This window comes from Homo sapiens, chromosome 11, assembly GCF_000001405.40.
Source record: "Homo sapiens chromosome 11, GRCh38.p14 Primary Assembly".
In the NCBI taxonomy this organism is placed as follows: domain Eukaryota; kingdom Metazoa; phylum Chordata; class Mammalia; order Primates; family Hominidae; genus Homo; species Homo sapiens.
In genome coordinates, this window is record NC_000011.10 from 50,408,613 (window position 1) to 50,423,851 (window position 15,239).

The 15,239-nt window shown below is 37.4% G+C and overlaps 1 pseudogene across 1 annotated transcript; it reads left to right on the plus strand.

Annotated features, from left to right (window-relative positions):
* The first annotated feature begins 534 nt into the window (after positions 1-534).
* On the plus strand, positions 535-12,019 carry LOC646813 (DExH-box helicase 9 pseudogene; annotated as a pseudogene). Its single transcript, NR_024504.2, has 6 exons — positions 535-576; positions 956-1,038; positions 7,491-7,608; positions 10,282-10,382; positions 11,530-11,765; positions 11,992-12,019. The product of NR_024504.2 is annotated as a DExH-box helicase 9 pseudogene (transcript).
* Positions 12,020-15,239: the final 3,220 nt, after the last annotated feature.

Sequence of the window (15,239 nt, forward strand, 5' to 3'; positions counted from 1 at the left end):
TTTGATTACTGAGTTAATAAGTGAGCAGAAGGTGGTCACAGTACAGATGGCAAAAAGGCAATTGTTTATCTTTCTGATTACCATAGGTCTCAGTTAAATAATTTTCTCAAACTATGTTTTTAGTGTGGTGATCAGTTACAAAGACAAACCTCCCTACGTATGTTATGCCCTGTTCCCTACTGGAAAATCACTGTGAACACTATTTAAGAGTTGGAGGCAATGACAAATTATAGAATCATTTTAAGTAGAAAATTAAAAACAACATTTTTAAAGTGTCTGCCATAGAAACCAATAGTATTTTTTGTACATTTATTGTTTCTGTTAATTATTCAGCTGGCAGTAGGACAGATTTACTACAATAATCCAAAAATGCTAATAAACAATTGTATCTAACTTTGTAGTTGTTAAGTCACTTTTCTTTTTTACTGTCTCAGCCCAGAAGAATCAGTGCAGTTTCTGTGGCAGAGCGAGTTGCATTTGAAAGAGGAGAAGAGACTGGAAAAAGCTGTGGATACACTGTTCGAATTGAGTCTGTACTCCCTCGTTTTCATGCCAGTATAACGTTTTGTACTGTAGGTCAGTAATATATTTTCAAATTTCATTTGGGGTTTATGTTGTGGTGTTTGTGAAGAAAACTTGACAGCAGAACAGAATGACTGGAAAGAAATAATGATTCAGTCTCAGATTTCTTGTTTAAATAAAACTTTTGGCAGTTTTTTCCTTCATGGTAAGTATGATATACCCATTAGATCTTGTAGCTTAGAGAAAATGAAATCATAAAATTGGTGAAAAAAACTATATTTCATAGTGTACTATCACCTTTTTAGTAGTTTAAATGTACACGTGATTATTTTTTAAATTGATGCTGGGGTATCTTAGTTGAAATATAGATAACTGTCCAGACATTTGCTTCTTTGAACTTTTCTACAGTTTGTTGATTGTTTTTCTTTTGAAGGTCTGCTCCTAAGAAAATTAGAATCAGGCATTTGAGGAATCAGTCATGTAACTGTAGGTGAAATACATGAAAGAGACATTAATGTAAGTAACTTGAGAGGTACAGTAAGGTACTAATTCTACTATTTCTAAGAGAAATCAGTAGAATGTCTTTGATTTGTTTTCCCTTTCCCCTGTTTTTATCATTATCAAAACTACGAACTTCAATCACTCAGATGTTGAAAATCTTTTTTTAGCAAGATTGTTAAATTTTTTTTTCTTTATTGTTAAACTTTACAGAAAGCATTCTGGAAGTGAAGACCTATGTCGTAAAGTGTAACTGCAGTGATCAGTAATAGCTGGCATATTTCAGCAATTGAACTAATGATTTATGACTAAATAGCTGATGGAATTTTTATGATTCGTTTTTCTTTGGATTGGAAGTTTATGATAGATTTTATAATGGCTTTTTTTGTTGTTGTTTTGAGACAGAGTCTTGCTCTGTCACCCAAGCTGGTGTGCAATGGTGCAATCTCAACTCACAGCAACCTCCTCCTCCCACATTCAAACAATTCTTCTGCCTCAGCCTCCTGAGTAGCTGGATCTACAGGCGCCCGTCACCATGCCTGACTGATTTTTGTATTTTCAGTAGAGATAGGGTTTCAACACCATGGTCAGGCTGGTATGGAACTCCTGACCTCAGGTGATCCACCTGTCTTAGTCTCCCAAAATGCTGAGATTACAGGCATGAGCCATTGTGTCCAGCCTATAGTGTTTATTTTAAAATAATTAACAGAGTTTTTTCAGATGTTTTCAGCTCTGATCTTTTCAGATGTTAATGAGAATCATGCCAAAATTGGGAAGAAACTATAATTTATTTCCAACCAATCCCTCTTTTAGCCCTTGGCAAAACTGGTGTAAAATTAACTGCTATGCAATTAAATGATGTGAAATTATATCCAAGCCAAGTATTACAGTGCCTTACAAAGGTTTCAGTGCATGGGCAGCATGCTTTTTAAACTGCCGCCAGTGACTCAAAGATTTTTTTTTTCTTTTTTTCTTTTCTTCTCCCAACCCCCATTCTGAAGTTACCCACAGGCCACTAGCCATAAGTTCAGTCAATAATTAGCAAACACAAGACATCACTTCCAAGTTTCTAAGTGTTTTAAGAGTTGTATGCCAGGAAAGGGGGTTGAAGACCAAATATATATTTCATAATATCACAAGTCATAAAATTGAATAATACTCAGCAACAAAAAGAAATAAAGTACTGATTCATCCATCAGTATGGATAAATTTTAAAACATTATTCTAAAAGAAATAAACTGGAGACAATAATACCTGCCATATAATTTTATGCATATGAAATTTTAGAAAAAAGCAAATCTGGTATGTGGTGACAAAAGTCAGATCAGTAGTTTCCAGGGATTGGGAATTTCCAAATTTCAAGCATAGCAGTCAAAAAAATTAACTGTTATGCTTGAAATGTGACATTATTTAATGCACTTTTGATATAATAAAATTAATCTAAAAATAAGGTTAATAAAAGGATTTGGGTTTTAGATCTCATGATAATCTCTAACACTTCTTTTAATTCTTGTTTTTTTCTTTCTCTTTCTTTTTTTTTTTTATTTTGACCCTTGTTACCCAGACTAGAGTGCAATGGTGCAATCTCGGCTTACTGCAACCTCTGCCTCCTAGATTTAAGTGATTCTCCTTGCCTCAGTCTCCCAAGTAGGTGGGATTACAGGTGCCTGCCACCAGGCCTGGCTAATTTTTTGTATTTTTAGTAGAGATAGGGTCTTACCATGTTGGCCTGGCTGGTCTCAAACTCCTAACCTCAGGTGATCCATCCACCTCTCCTCAAAGCATTTCTTAAAACTTTCTCCTCTTACTTTTATATCAGTTTTTGTTAAACATCTTGAGTTTTGGCAAAGCTAAGCTGAAGCAGATAAGACTGGTTTGGATGGTTTATCATGACTGTAAATTATGTAAGTTTTCAGTAGGACAAAATTTTTGCTCTTTTGTCCTTTATATTCTCTTGGAAACTTTACAGGTTTTTCCTAATTAACTTAATTGACAAATGTTTCTATATTATCTTTAATTGCTTGTTAATCTAGCAATGTTCTTAGGGTTTAAATTATTCCAAACACTGGAATAATGTCATGGATAATCCTTGGTATTTTTCTAAAACAGTAAGTGGTTTGGGTCAGCTTAAGCAACTTAGGATGTAAGTCTGGGCCAGGTGCAGTGGCTCACGCCTGTAATCCTAGCACTTTGGGAAGCCAACGTGGAAGGGTCTGTGAAAACTTGTCCAGTATGGTCTGGTCTGCTCCTGTCCTGCCAGTTTGGTAGGGTCCAGTCCTGACCAGTCTTATCATATTTGGCCTGGTCTTGTCCAGTTTGGTCTGGTCTTATTCTGTCCAGTTCTGTCTGGTCTTGACCAGTCTTATCTCGTCTTGTCCAGTTTGGTCCAGTCTTGTCTGGCCCAGCCTGGTCTTGTCCAGTTTGGTCCAGTCTTGTCTGGCCCAGCCTGGTCTTGTCCAGTTTGGTCCATTCCTGACCAGTCTTATCCAGTTCGGCCCAGTCTTGTCTGGTTTGGTCTGGTCTGATCCTGACCAGTCTTATCCAGATTGGCCCATTCTTGTCTGGTTTGGTCCAGGCTTGTCCAGTCCTGTCTGGTCTTATCTGTTCTGACCCAGTCTTGTCCTATCGGATTTGATCTGGTCTGGTCTGGTTCTGTCCAGTCCTGACAGGTCTGGTCCAGTCTTCTCTGGTTTGGTCCAGTCCTGACCAGTCTTATCCAGATCTGCATGGTCTTGTCCAGTTTGGTCTGGTCCTGTCCAGTCCTGTCCAGTCTTACCTGGTTTGGTCCATTCTGGTCTGATTCGGTCCAGTCCTGACCAGTCTTATCCAGTTTGGCCTGGTCTTGTCTGGTTTGGTCCAGTCTTGTTGAGTTCTGTCCGGTCTTATCCAGTCTGGCCCAGTCTTGTCCTATCTGGTTCGGTCTGGACTGGTCTGGTTCAGTCCAATCCTGACTGGTCTGGTCCAGGCTTGTCCAGTTTCATCTGGTCCTGACCAGTCTTATCCAGTTCAGCACAGTCTTGTCCGGTTTGGTCCAGTCTTGTCCAGTCCTTCTGGTCTTAACTGGTTTGGTCTGCTCTGGTCTGGTTCAGTCCAGTCCTGACCAGTCTTATCCAGTATTGTCAAGTCTGGTCCAGTATGTCTGTTTTGGTCCAGTCCTGACCAGTCTTATCCAGTTCAGCCCAGTCTTGTCTGGTTTGATCTGGTCTTGTCCAGTCCTGTCCAGTCGTATGCAGTTTGGTCCAGTTCAGTCCAGTCTGGTCTGGTTCACTCCAGGCCTGACCAGTTTTACAGGTTTCAGCCAGGTCTGGTCCAGTCTTGTCCATTTTCATCTGGTCCTGACCAGTCTTATCCATTTTGGCCCAGTCTTGTCCGGTCCTGACTGGTCTTGTCCAGTTTGGTCTGGTCTTGGCCGGTTCAGCCTGGTCCTTGCCAGTCTTGTCCAGTTCGGCCCAGTCTTGTCTGGTTTGTTCTGGTCCAGTCTGGTTCAGTCCAGTCCTGACTGGTCTTGTCTGGTTTGGCCTAGTCCAGTCCTGACCCAGTCTTATGCAGTCTGGCCCGGTCTTGTCCGCTTTGGTCCAGTCTGGTCCAGTGCATTTCAGTGTAGTCCAGTTTTGTTGGGTCTGGTCTGGTTTGGTATGGTCCTGTCTGGGCTTTTCAGGCCTGGTCCTGTCTTGTCCACTTCAGCCCAGGTTTGTCTTCTTTTTTATTGAAGTTTCACTCTTCAGCCCAGGCTAGAGTGAAGTTGCTGCATCTCAGCTCACTGTACCCTCTGCTGCAGAATTCAAGGGATTCTCCTGCCTCAGCCTATGAGTAGCTGGGATTGTAGGTGCCTGCCACCACACCTGGCTAATTTTTGTATTATTTGTAGCGACACTATTTTGCCATGTTGTCCAGGCTGGACTCAAACTCCTGACCTCAGGTTATCTGCCTGCCTTGGCCTCCCAATGTGCTGGGATTTACAGGTGTGAGCCACCTTGCCCAGCCTGAAGAAACTTTTCATGTTCTCTTTCAAGATAAATCTTACCTTGTTCTGTCACCTTACATAGAAAACCCAAGTGTACTTATAGACCAATACTACAAATAATAGAACTTAACAGTATGGCTGGATAAAAGGTTAATATAAAAAAGGCAGTAGCTTTTTTTATACTTATAAGAATAGCTAGAAAAAATAAAAAGAAAATAGACTTCAGCAGTCAAAGTATTCAGTACCTAAGAATAAACAACAAAAACAGGCAAGATCTTTACAAGATAAATAAATTTTATTACAAAACACTGAAAAAGAGCAGACAATGTTTATATATAGTAGGATTTAATAACATCAATTATTTTCAAGTTGATCCACATTTTGAATGCAATTCTAATTAAAATACCGGCAAGGTTTTCCATACAACTTGATGAGGTGATTGTAAATACTTAATAAGATAGATTTATGGCCCCAAGTAGCCAGTATTTCTAAAGAAGAACAGAATGGAGAATCTTGCCTTACAGATAACAAGACCTGTTTTGAAGCTAAAATAATCGAGACAGTGAGGTACATGGGTTGATAGATGGGATAAGACAGGGCACAAAAACACATTGTATGTTGTATGTTACATGCAACGTTGTTATGAGATAATGGTGGCATGCCATATCAGCGAGCTAGGGAATGAGCATTTAAGTAAATGGAACTGGAAACTAATTGTTATTTCAATGTATTTGAAATAACTTCCCTACCTCATAACTAAGTACAAAAATCATCTCCATATAGATTGAGAACTTTAAATGTGTTGACACATGAAAGAGTTTTTCAAACACTGAAGTAGAAAATATAAAAATATAAATAAGCATCTTCTAGACAGTGCTGTCCAAAAGAAATACGTAAGCCACATAATTTAAATTTTTCTAATAATGCATTTGAAAAGGTGAAAATGTGAAATTAAACATATTTAACCCAGAATATCTAAAGTATTTACAACACACAGTTAATTTTAAAAGTTATGTTTGAGATATTTTTCATTATTTTTTCTCATACGATGTCTTCAACATTTGGTTTGAACAAATGTGTTTTACATTTAAAGTACATCTCAATTCAGATTAATGCTACTGTATTGGGCAGCATAGTTTTAGACCTTCTGAAAGGATTGCTGAACACATGAAATGCACTAAACTTGAAATAAAAGATCACTGTACTCTTCCATATTAAAATTAAGGTCATTTGTTTAGTCAAAAGGAACTTTAAGGAAAACCTCAAGCTAGAAGATTCCAACATGTTAGTACAGGAATATATAAGCAACGTCCACAAATCAGTAAGAAAAGTTTAAACAATGTAGTAGAAAAATGAGCAAAAATACAGGCATTTTATAGAAGAGGAAACATTTGGTTAATAAACATGGAGATATTCAATCTCACTGGGACTAATGGGAAAGTATAGGTCTAGACCACAAGAAGACACTGCATTATATCCATTTATTTAATAAAAAGCGACATTGTAAAAATGTGGAGAGTATGTGGATCAGCAGGATCGCTTATTCACTGCTCATGGGGATATACAAATAATGGAACCACTTAGGAAAATTGTTAAGTGTTATCTTCTGAAGTTCAGCAGTTACATACCCTATAGCTTGGCAATTCTATACCCACACTTAACCTCCAGAAACTTGGATATGTTTAGCACTGCTCTTTAGACTTAACAAGGATGCTCATAGTAGTAAATGTTCACATTAGTAAATCTTGAAAACAAGCCAGATATATGTAAGAGTAAGTGAATTAACTGATAAATACATACACAGGAACAGTAAACTGTCATCAGAAAGGATGACTATAGTAATGAGTGGATGAATCTTAGCAATGTTGTGGTATGTAAAAAAGGAAATCCCAAGACAACATAAAATATGCATTTCCACAAAGTAAGTAAAATTTAAAAATATAGCCAAGGCAGGTGGATCATTTGAGGCCAGGAATTTGAGACCAGCCTGAGCAACATGGCTTGGCTTACCACAACCTCTCCCTCCTGGTTCCAGTGATTGTCCTGCCTCAGCCTCCTGAGTACTTGGGATTATAGGCATGTGCCACCATACTGGGCTAATATTGTATTTTTAGTAGAGACAGGGTTTCTCCATTGTTGTTCAGGTTGGTCTCGAACTCCCAACCTCAGATGATCCACCCACCTTGACCTCCCAAAATGCTGAGATTACAGGCATGAGCCACTGAGCCCGGCCATTAGCACTCATTCCTAATCTCCAACAACTATTAGGCTACAACTGTTCTTAAAAATTGTTATTGTTATCTTAAAAATTGATAAAGGACCCACTGTGGTCCTTTATCTTGCACTTCTATGAGCCATCTAAGAAAGTGAATTTAAATGATATCTTGTGGCTGTATAACTCCTTTAGGCATAGTTTGTTGTATAAAGTTAATGTAATTTCAAAAATTTTGTGTTTGTGTTTTAATAGACTGACTTCCTTTTGATAGTACTGCGTGATGTGTTTCAGGCTTATCCTGAAGTTCACATTGTTCTTATGTCTGCTACTATTGATACCAACATGTTCTGTGAATATTTCTTCAATTGCCCCATCATTGAAGTTTATGGGAGGACTTAACCAATTGAAGGTAATATTGTGGGGGTGGGATAGGAACATCTTTTGTGCAGTAGGGTTTGGATTTTCTTAATCCTGGAAATTGGAGTTATAATTTAAAGAATACTTAAAATACAGGAAAAATTACAGTATCAGATGTATCATAGCATTTTTGAGGAGCTTCTTGTCTGTGATTTTATACAGTAGTGAGTACAGTCTGAGAAGTGAGACCAGGTTTCATTTACTACTTGAGTAGTTTGCATATCCAGTAAGTTTCCAGGCGTTTACTTATAAAGCCAAACTTTTAAAAATTATAATGAATAGTCAAAGGGAAATAACTGTGGTATATATGTAATTATGGGAATTACTCTTAAGAGTTTAAGCAGCCAGGATCAAATTAAGAATACTTTTTAGAGCCTGAGCAACTAGATTTTGAATTAAGATTAAGGGAAGTATGTCAAGGTTATATATTTCTGATAAGTGAGTGTTCTTTAGTATCTTTTTTTTTTTTCTGAGACAGGGTCTCACTCTGTTGCCCAGACTGGAGTGTAGTGGTGCAATCTTGGCTCACTGCAACCTCTGGCTCCCAGGCCCAATCAGTCCTCCCATCTCAGCTTCCTCATTACCTGGGACTACAGGTGCACACCACCGTGCCTGGCTAATTTTTGTATTTTTTGTAGAGACAAGGTCTCATCATGTTGCCCAAGCTAGTCTCAAACTCATGGACCCAAGCAGTCAGCTTGCCTCAGCCTCCCAAAGTGCTGGGATAACAGTCTAGAGCCACTGTGGCCAGCCTTCTTTACTGTCTTTAGGAGTTGTTATCACAGTTTCCTAGGATAGTCATCTGGTAGCTTTGGGGAAAAAAAATGAATTATGGCACATTCAATTGAGGGCATGAAAATAAGAGAGAAACAGTGTAGATAGATATGACGTTATGGCTATACCAGCATGCTAAGCCAGTGTAATTCACAGGGGTACAGGTTAATTCTAAAACTGCTGTACATGTGTACTGGAATTGACATACAAGTAAATGGATGGCAAGTGGTGGGAGCTCAGTTTCTTTCTTTCTTTTCTTTTTTAGATGAAGTCTAGCTCTGTTGCCCAGGCTGGAGTGCAGTGGTGCAGTCTCAGCTCACTGCAATCTCGTCCTCCCAGGTTCATGTGATTTTCCTGCCTCAGCCTCCTGAGCAGCTAGGATTACAGACACACACCACCACACCCAGCTAGTTTTTGTATTTTTAGTAGAGATGGGCTTTCACCATGTTGGTCACGGTGGTCTTGAGCTGCTGACCTTGTGATCTGCCCATATCAGCCTCCCAAAGTGCTGGGATTACAGGCGTTTACCACCGCGCCTGGCCTTGGGAGCTCAGTTTCTTACTACTAGAAAGAGAAGTTAAACCTAAGTGGGATTGCCAGAACAAAGCATAGGGTACCGGATTATACTCAAAGAGATCAGCATGAACTTGTGTTCAGCTAAATGGAGATACAAATGGGTAGGTATAGAAATATAGATACATGTGGATACATGTGTTAGTATACATACACATTTTTTTCTAGCTCTGTGTGCTGAGTGGGAGTAGAAGCAGTGACACCCAATAGATAGGGATATGCCCCACATCCAGATTTTGTTTTTAATGCCATTCTCCAATTAAAGGAACCAGATATTTCTGGAGAAATGGCTGCTTCTAGGATGAAACAGAATATACAAAAATGAGCCTGGAACATCTTGTGTTTTAAAGTAAGGTAGTGCCTAAAAGAAGCCCATAGCAATGGGGATAAATGGCTACAGGAGCCAATCTGAAAGAGTTCCCAATGGCCAAGGCTGGAACAGTTTAATGAAATAAAAACATGGCATTAGATTACCAAAATGTAAAATATTTATGTGTCTATACTGATATGTAAATAAGTGGTTTAATAAAAATAATAGTGACAAGTCTCTCTTACAAAATAATTTCAAATAATTTATGTAAATGGTCTCCCCATTTTTCAAACAAGTGGGTCTGAACTACCTAACCCCTGAGTGAGCTGTGTTTAATAACTCCTAAAGAGTACAGCGTGGGAAGAAGGGAAAATGAGTAACTTTACAGTGGAGAAACTTGGCAGACACTACCACAGGTGATCAAGTTTTAACATCATGAAGAGTAGGTCATATTGATAAGATGTGCCCTTAATATGATGCGATGAGAATGGCACTTATGGAGTCTTTGGATATAGAGGGTGTTTCAATTATAAAGACATTCTGGGGCCATCTGAGAATCTTGGGCATAATTGATCAACAGATCTTCCAGTCCTTGCATTGAGATCCTTCTTCAGATTAACTAGAAGCCATTTTATGTGTGCATACTGATAGAGGAAGGATAGACTGCGGTATATTGTTTTATTTAAGTTACTACTTTCCATGTACAACTCCAACACAATGGAAGTGTACAGATAAGTGTTTGGTTGAATGTTATACACAGAGGATACCCCAACTGGCTCTGTGGGAACATGTGTAAAAGATACTTCACCTTCCTTCAAGGTCTAAGAGAGGGAAACACTGAGTTTGGTTAGGAAAATAAGGTTATTACTACTGGAATTTTTTGGCATTTGTGAGGAATCAGACTAGAGAGGTATTAAAGTAGTTTTGAACTATGAATTAGCAAATGAATTTGAGTCTGCTCCATTGTGAAAGTTGATAGTACTTACCTGACTGGATCGTCCCTGGCAGAATATTTTCTGGAAGACTGCATTCGGATGACCCACTTTGTTCCTCCACCAAAAGACAAGAAGAAGAAGGATAAGGATGATGATGGTGGTGAGGATGATTATGTAAGTGAATTTCATGAAGAATTTCCATTGTGGGCAAATTGTCAATGCAGAGAAAAAAGGAGTTAATATAACATGCAACTTATTAGCATTACAGAAGATTTTTAAAAAACTGACTATAATGTCTGCCTTTGGATTAATTGATGTATTTTACTGCAAAAAATTACAGGTTCAGTGGCAAGCTGTTTTCTATCACGAGTTAAATTATTTCTGGCATAAAAGTCAAAAGAAAAAAAAGAAAGAATACAATGTTTAAAGGCCAGGCATGGTTACAGACAACACCATTGCATAAAGTTTTGCTACTCAGTATTTTCAGTAGGCTGCAGAACCCGGCAAACTGGTAGAAAGGCAGAATCCTGTGCCCCACCCTAGATCTACTGAATCAGAATTTATGTTTTAACAAGATACCCAGGTGATCTGTATGTACAATAAAGTTTATAAACAGCAGCTATAGCTTCAGCTACAGGAGACTGGAGATGACATTATCAGGTGGACGGAGTATTAAATCAGGGAGCAAAGAGGGATTTCCTAGGAGAAACAGGAAAGAAAAGACCTATATTGTAGTGCTTGAGAGTTGGACAAACGGTAGTATAAAAATGGATGGTTTATCTGGAAATAGACAGCCAGCAATGCAGAATTTGCTTGAAAACTTAAGATTGTATCTTTTTAATCAAAAGATCTGAAGATGTAAGTGAACAGCAGATTAGAAAATTTAGCAGGAAAAAGACCATTTGTAACAACTGTTTCTCAACTTGTTTTATCATTGATTCTAATGTAAACTTTTTGGAAAAATGCTACATTATTTCACTAATATTAAGAAAGAAGTATACTCCTTAGAAGGCTCCATGAGAGGTTTGAGTCAAATTTAAAATTTGTGCTTGAGTTTTAGTCCTATCCTGTGAGAAATACTAGTTAGTAGAAAAGTTCAGTATATTAATGTAAGCTCTACATTTTTGGAAATTAAATTTCTCTGTATTCTGTAGTGTATGACCAGTCAACTAGAATAAATAACGACATTACAAGTCATTAGAGTCACTAGAAGAAATCTAGAAGACTTACCTCATGAGCTGTAGTAACTGTCATGAGCTGTAGTAACTGTCATGAGCTGTAGTAACAGACAGTCCAAAATATGTCTCCCTGTTTTTTACAGGAAAATTGCAACTTGATCTGTGGTGATGAATATGGTCCAGAAACAAGGTTGAGCAGGTCTCAATTGAACGAAAAGGAAACTCCCTTTTAATTCATCAAAGCTCTACTTAAGTACATTGAAACTCTTAACGTTTCCGGAGCTGTTGTTTTGTTTTGTTTTGTTTTGTTTTGTTTTTTTGCCTGTCTGGAATTTGATTTATACTGTGAAGAAGCATTTGGAAATGAATCCACATTTTGGTATGAGTCTTTAAATTCTCACATATTTGAGAGTGAAAATGAATGTTTTTGCTAGTGCCTTAGCCAGTATGTGAAAACAAAATTTTGTGTTGTCAATACTTTCGAAGAAAAAAAATATGTACAACGGAGAGCTGTTTGAAACCAGTTCCTATTTTTAGTCCCTGATTGTTCTGTACTGTTATATATGGGAAGCCATCAGTACCAGATTCTACTTCTGCATTCTCAGATTCCTCCAGAGCAACAGCGCAAAGTGTTGGATCCAGTACCAGTTGGAGTAACCAAGGTAAATATTAAACATTACAATGATGGGATTGGAAGTGATGTTGATATTAAACAAATGTTACAGGTCTTCAAAGAGCTACCCAAAAAATTGTAACCCATCTAAATTGAGGAAGAAAAAAGGAGTCTTCTCTTTCTGAGCTTAGTAGATTGTTCATTAATTGGTTATTGGGTGATTTTCTTAGGACTTCTGTAATTTTCTTGTCATTTGTTACATACATAAGCAAACCAGTCGTTTCAAGTACATAATAAGAATATTATCTGGAGTGTAATTTTTCTTTCTTCACAGGTTATTTTTTCCACAAATATTGCTGAAACAAGCATTACCATAAATGATGTTGTTTATGTCATTGGCTCCTGCCAGTTAGTTACTGGGAAACCTATTTACCTGTTCCAGTATTACCAACTGGAAACTTCTTACCAGTTAACAGAATGAAAAACATCTTATTTTTAAACTCCTGTGTTCTTATATCTCCAAAACTATTGTGCATCTACATAGAATTATAGGTAATTGATAATTAAGAGTAATTATTTGTGTTGATTACTGCAAATAAGTTATGGTAGAAAGTGACAAAGCTTGAAATGGTAACTGATGATTACTTCTCATTGTTCTTGGCTGCTGGTATTTCACTTATTTCCCATTGGGTGTTTCCATTGATCACTGCCATACTATAGCATGCTGTTTGATGAATAAAGATGACCAGTGTTTAACACATAACAAATATCCTACTTTGAAGGACACTCCTTTAAGGATTAAAGGTCTTCATTTTGGTATGAGATGAGCCTGGAAAATATACCAGGAGGCATTATGTGTAGATACATAGATGTGTAGATACATAGATTAGATGGTAATTGATAAATTGAAAGGACAAAAAAGTTGAAACTTGGTTATATCTGGCCAACTTGTGCCCCAAGATATCTCTATATAATCCCTTAGTCTGTCCTGACAATGAAAACAATTTGCTGCCAACATCTATTTTAGGAAATGGTGAATAGCATTCTGTGCCAATCCCAGTAGTTTAGTGGCAACTGTCTCTGTATGTAACATTGAAGGAATCTGAGGTTGCTTGGGAATTCAAAAGGACCACGTAGGCATCACTAAATATAGATATCCTAAAATTTACACTGAACTTTTGAATAGAGATGACTTAAATAATTATTTTCTTTTGTGTATGTGCCATATTCCATTTAAATGCTTTGCATTTGTTAATTTACTTAATGTTTACAAAAAAAACTCTATAAGGTAGCTAATGGCATGGAAAGTTTGACCAAGGCAGTTCAGCTGGTAAGTGGCAGGTGGATGTTACATTACCTTTTAGTAGGTTGACAAATAGGAGTGTGCAGTCAAATTGCTGATTCTTATTGTGTCATTCATGAATAGTCACCACATGTAGGTATGGCTTTAACTACATAGTGGAAAGCATTCACTACTTAGTGGATTAGTGGATATATCATAGTTATTGATAATACACACGAGTCTTAGAATTAACCACTCTTTCCTATGTAGGCAGAAAGTAAAACTCTTCACTGCTCACAACAATATGACCAACTATGCTAGAGTACAGACATCATAAACAAACCTTGAGCAGTGGAAAGGGTGAGCTGGCCGAGTACGTCCCGGATTCTGCTTTCACCTCTGCAGCCAAGCTCGTTTTGACAGGTAAGTCCAATTCTTGACATTTAGTAAGGGATTTTCTTCTGTTCCATTTTTTGTCGTTCTGTTCTCTGTAAGAACAGACATGTGCAGTTATGTAAACCTGCCAATTTAAGCTGATCTAAGTCTTGCCAGTCATGTTGGAATCAGGTGTAAATGTTTCTTAAGAATCTTCATCACAAATCATTTTAGAGAATAAGCCAGAATTAGAAACATAGAGACCTAGATTTTAATATTATATGTGCCTAATACATTGTATAACACTAAACGGTTACTGTTTAGGCTTGAATTTCCCTCATTCTATAAAATAGTAAGTTACTTAACTTCTCTTCTTTCCTCAGTTGTAAAAAGAATATGGTAAATAATGCCTAAACCACAGGGTTGCCCAAGAATTAAATGAGTTAATAATGTAAAATACTTTGAACATACTCTGGCACATCATGATCTCCCAATAAATGTTTGCTATTGTTAATTTATAGAGGTCAAATATCTCCTTTAAAACTGAAATGCTTGGGAGCAGGAGTGCTTTTTTATTTTTTATTTTTTATTGTAATATTTGAATTGTATTTACAAGTCAGGCATCCCTAATCTGAAAATATGAAATCTAAAATGCTCTAATGAACATTTCCTTTAAGTGTCATGTCAGAAGTCAAAAAGTTTTGGATTTTAAAGAGTTACATCTGTAACAGTGATTCTAGTGGCAATAAAATTACATGAACTAGAAAGGTGGGGACGTTGTAGAGAAATCTTAGTATGAGTTATCATCCTGCAAAAAGTCTTGCTGTTGTTTTCAACCCATGTTTGTCAACAGGCAAGGCCTGAAGAGACCATGGATGGAGCTAATAAATTCGGGATTTTGGATATTTTTTTCACTTTTCTTCTCAGCTTAAAAGGTCAACAAGTTGTGAGGATAAGTCAGAAATCGCTATGCAACCAGATTAAATTTTGTCCACAGTGTGTATAGTGAATGAAAAAAGGTTTGATGGTAATTGTAAAATAAAAGGATGAGGAAAGGGAAGCTCTGTATCCCTGATTACCATGCTGCAAAAACTTTATTGGAAACAATGTTTTTGTAGAATCTGCAAAAGGACATTAGGGGGCGCATAGAGATCTATGCTCAAAAAGAAAATATTTTCAGATATAAACTAGAAAGAAGCTTTCTGCAAAACTGCTTTGTGATGTTTGCGTTCATCTCACAGTGTTAAAAATTTCTTTTCATTCAGCAGTTTGGAAAAACTGTTTTTGTCCATTCTGCAAATGGACGTTTGGGAGCTCTGTGAGGCCAAAGGTGAAAAAATGAATATCCTAGGATGAAAAATGGAAGGAAGCTATCTGAGAAACTGCTGTTTGATGTGTGCATTCATCTCACTAAGTTAAACTTGTCTTTTCATTCAGCAGTTTGGAAACATTGTTTTGGTAGTATCTGAGAAGGGTTGTTTGGGAGGACTTTAAGGCCTAGTGTGAAGAAGAAAACATCTTCAGATAGAAACTCGAAAGTACCTTTCTGAGAAAATGCTTTGTGATGTGTGCATTCATCTAAC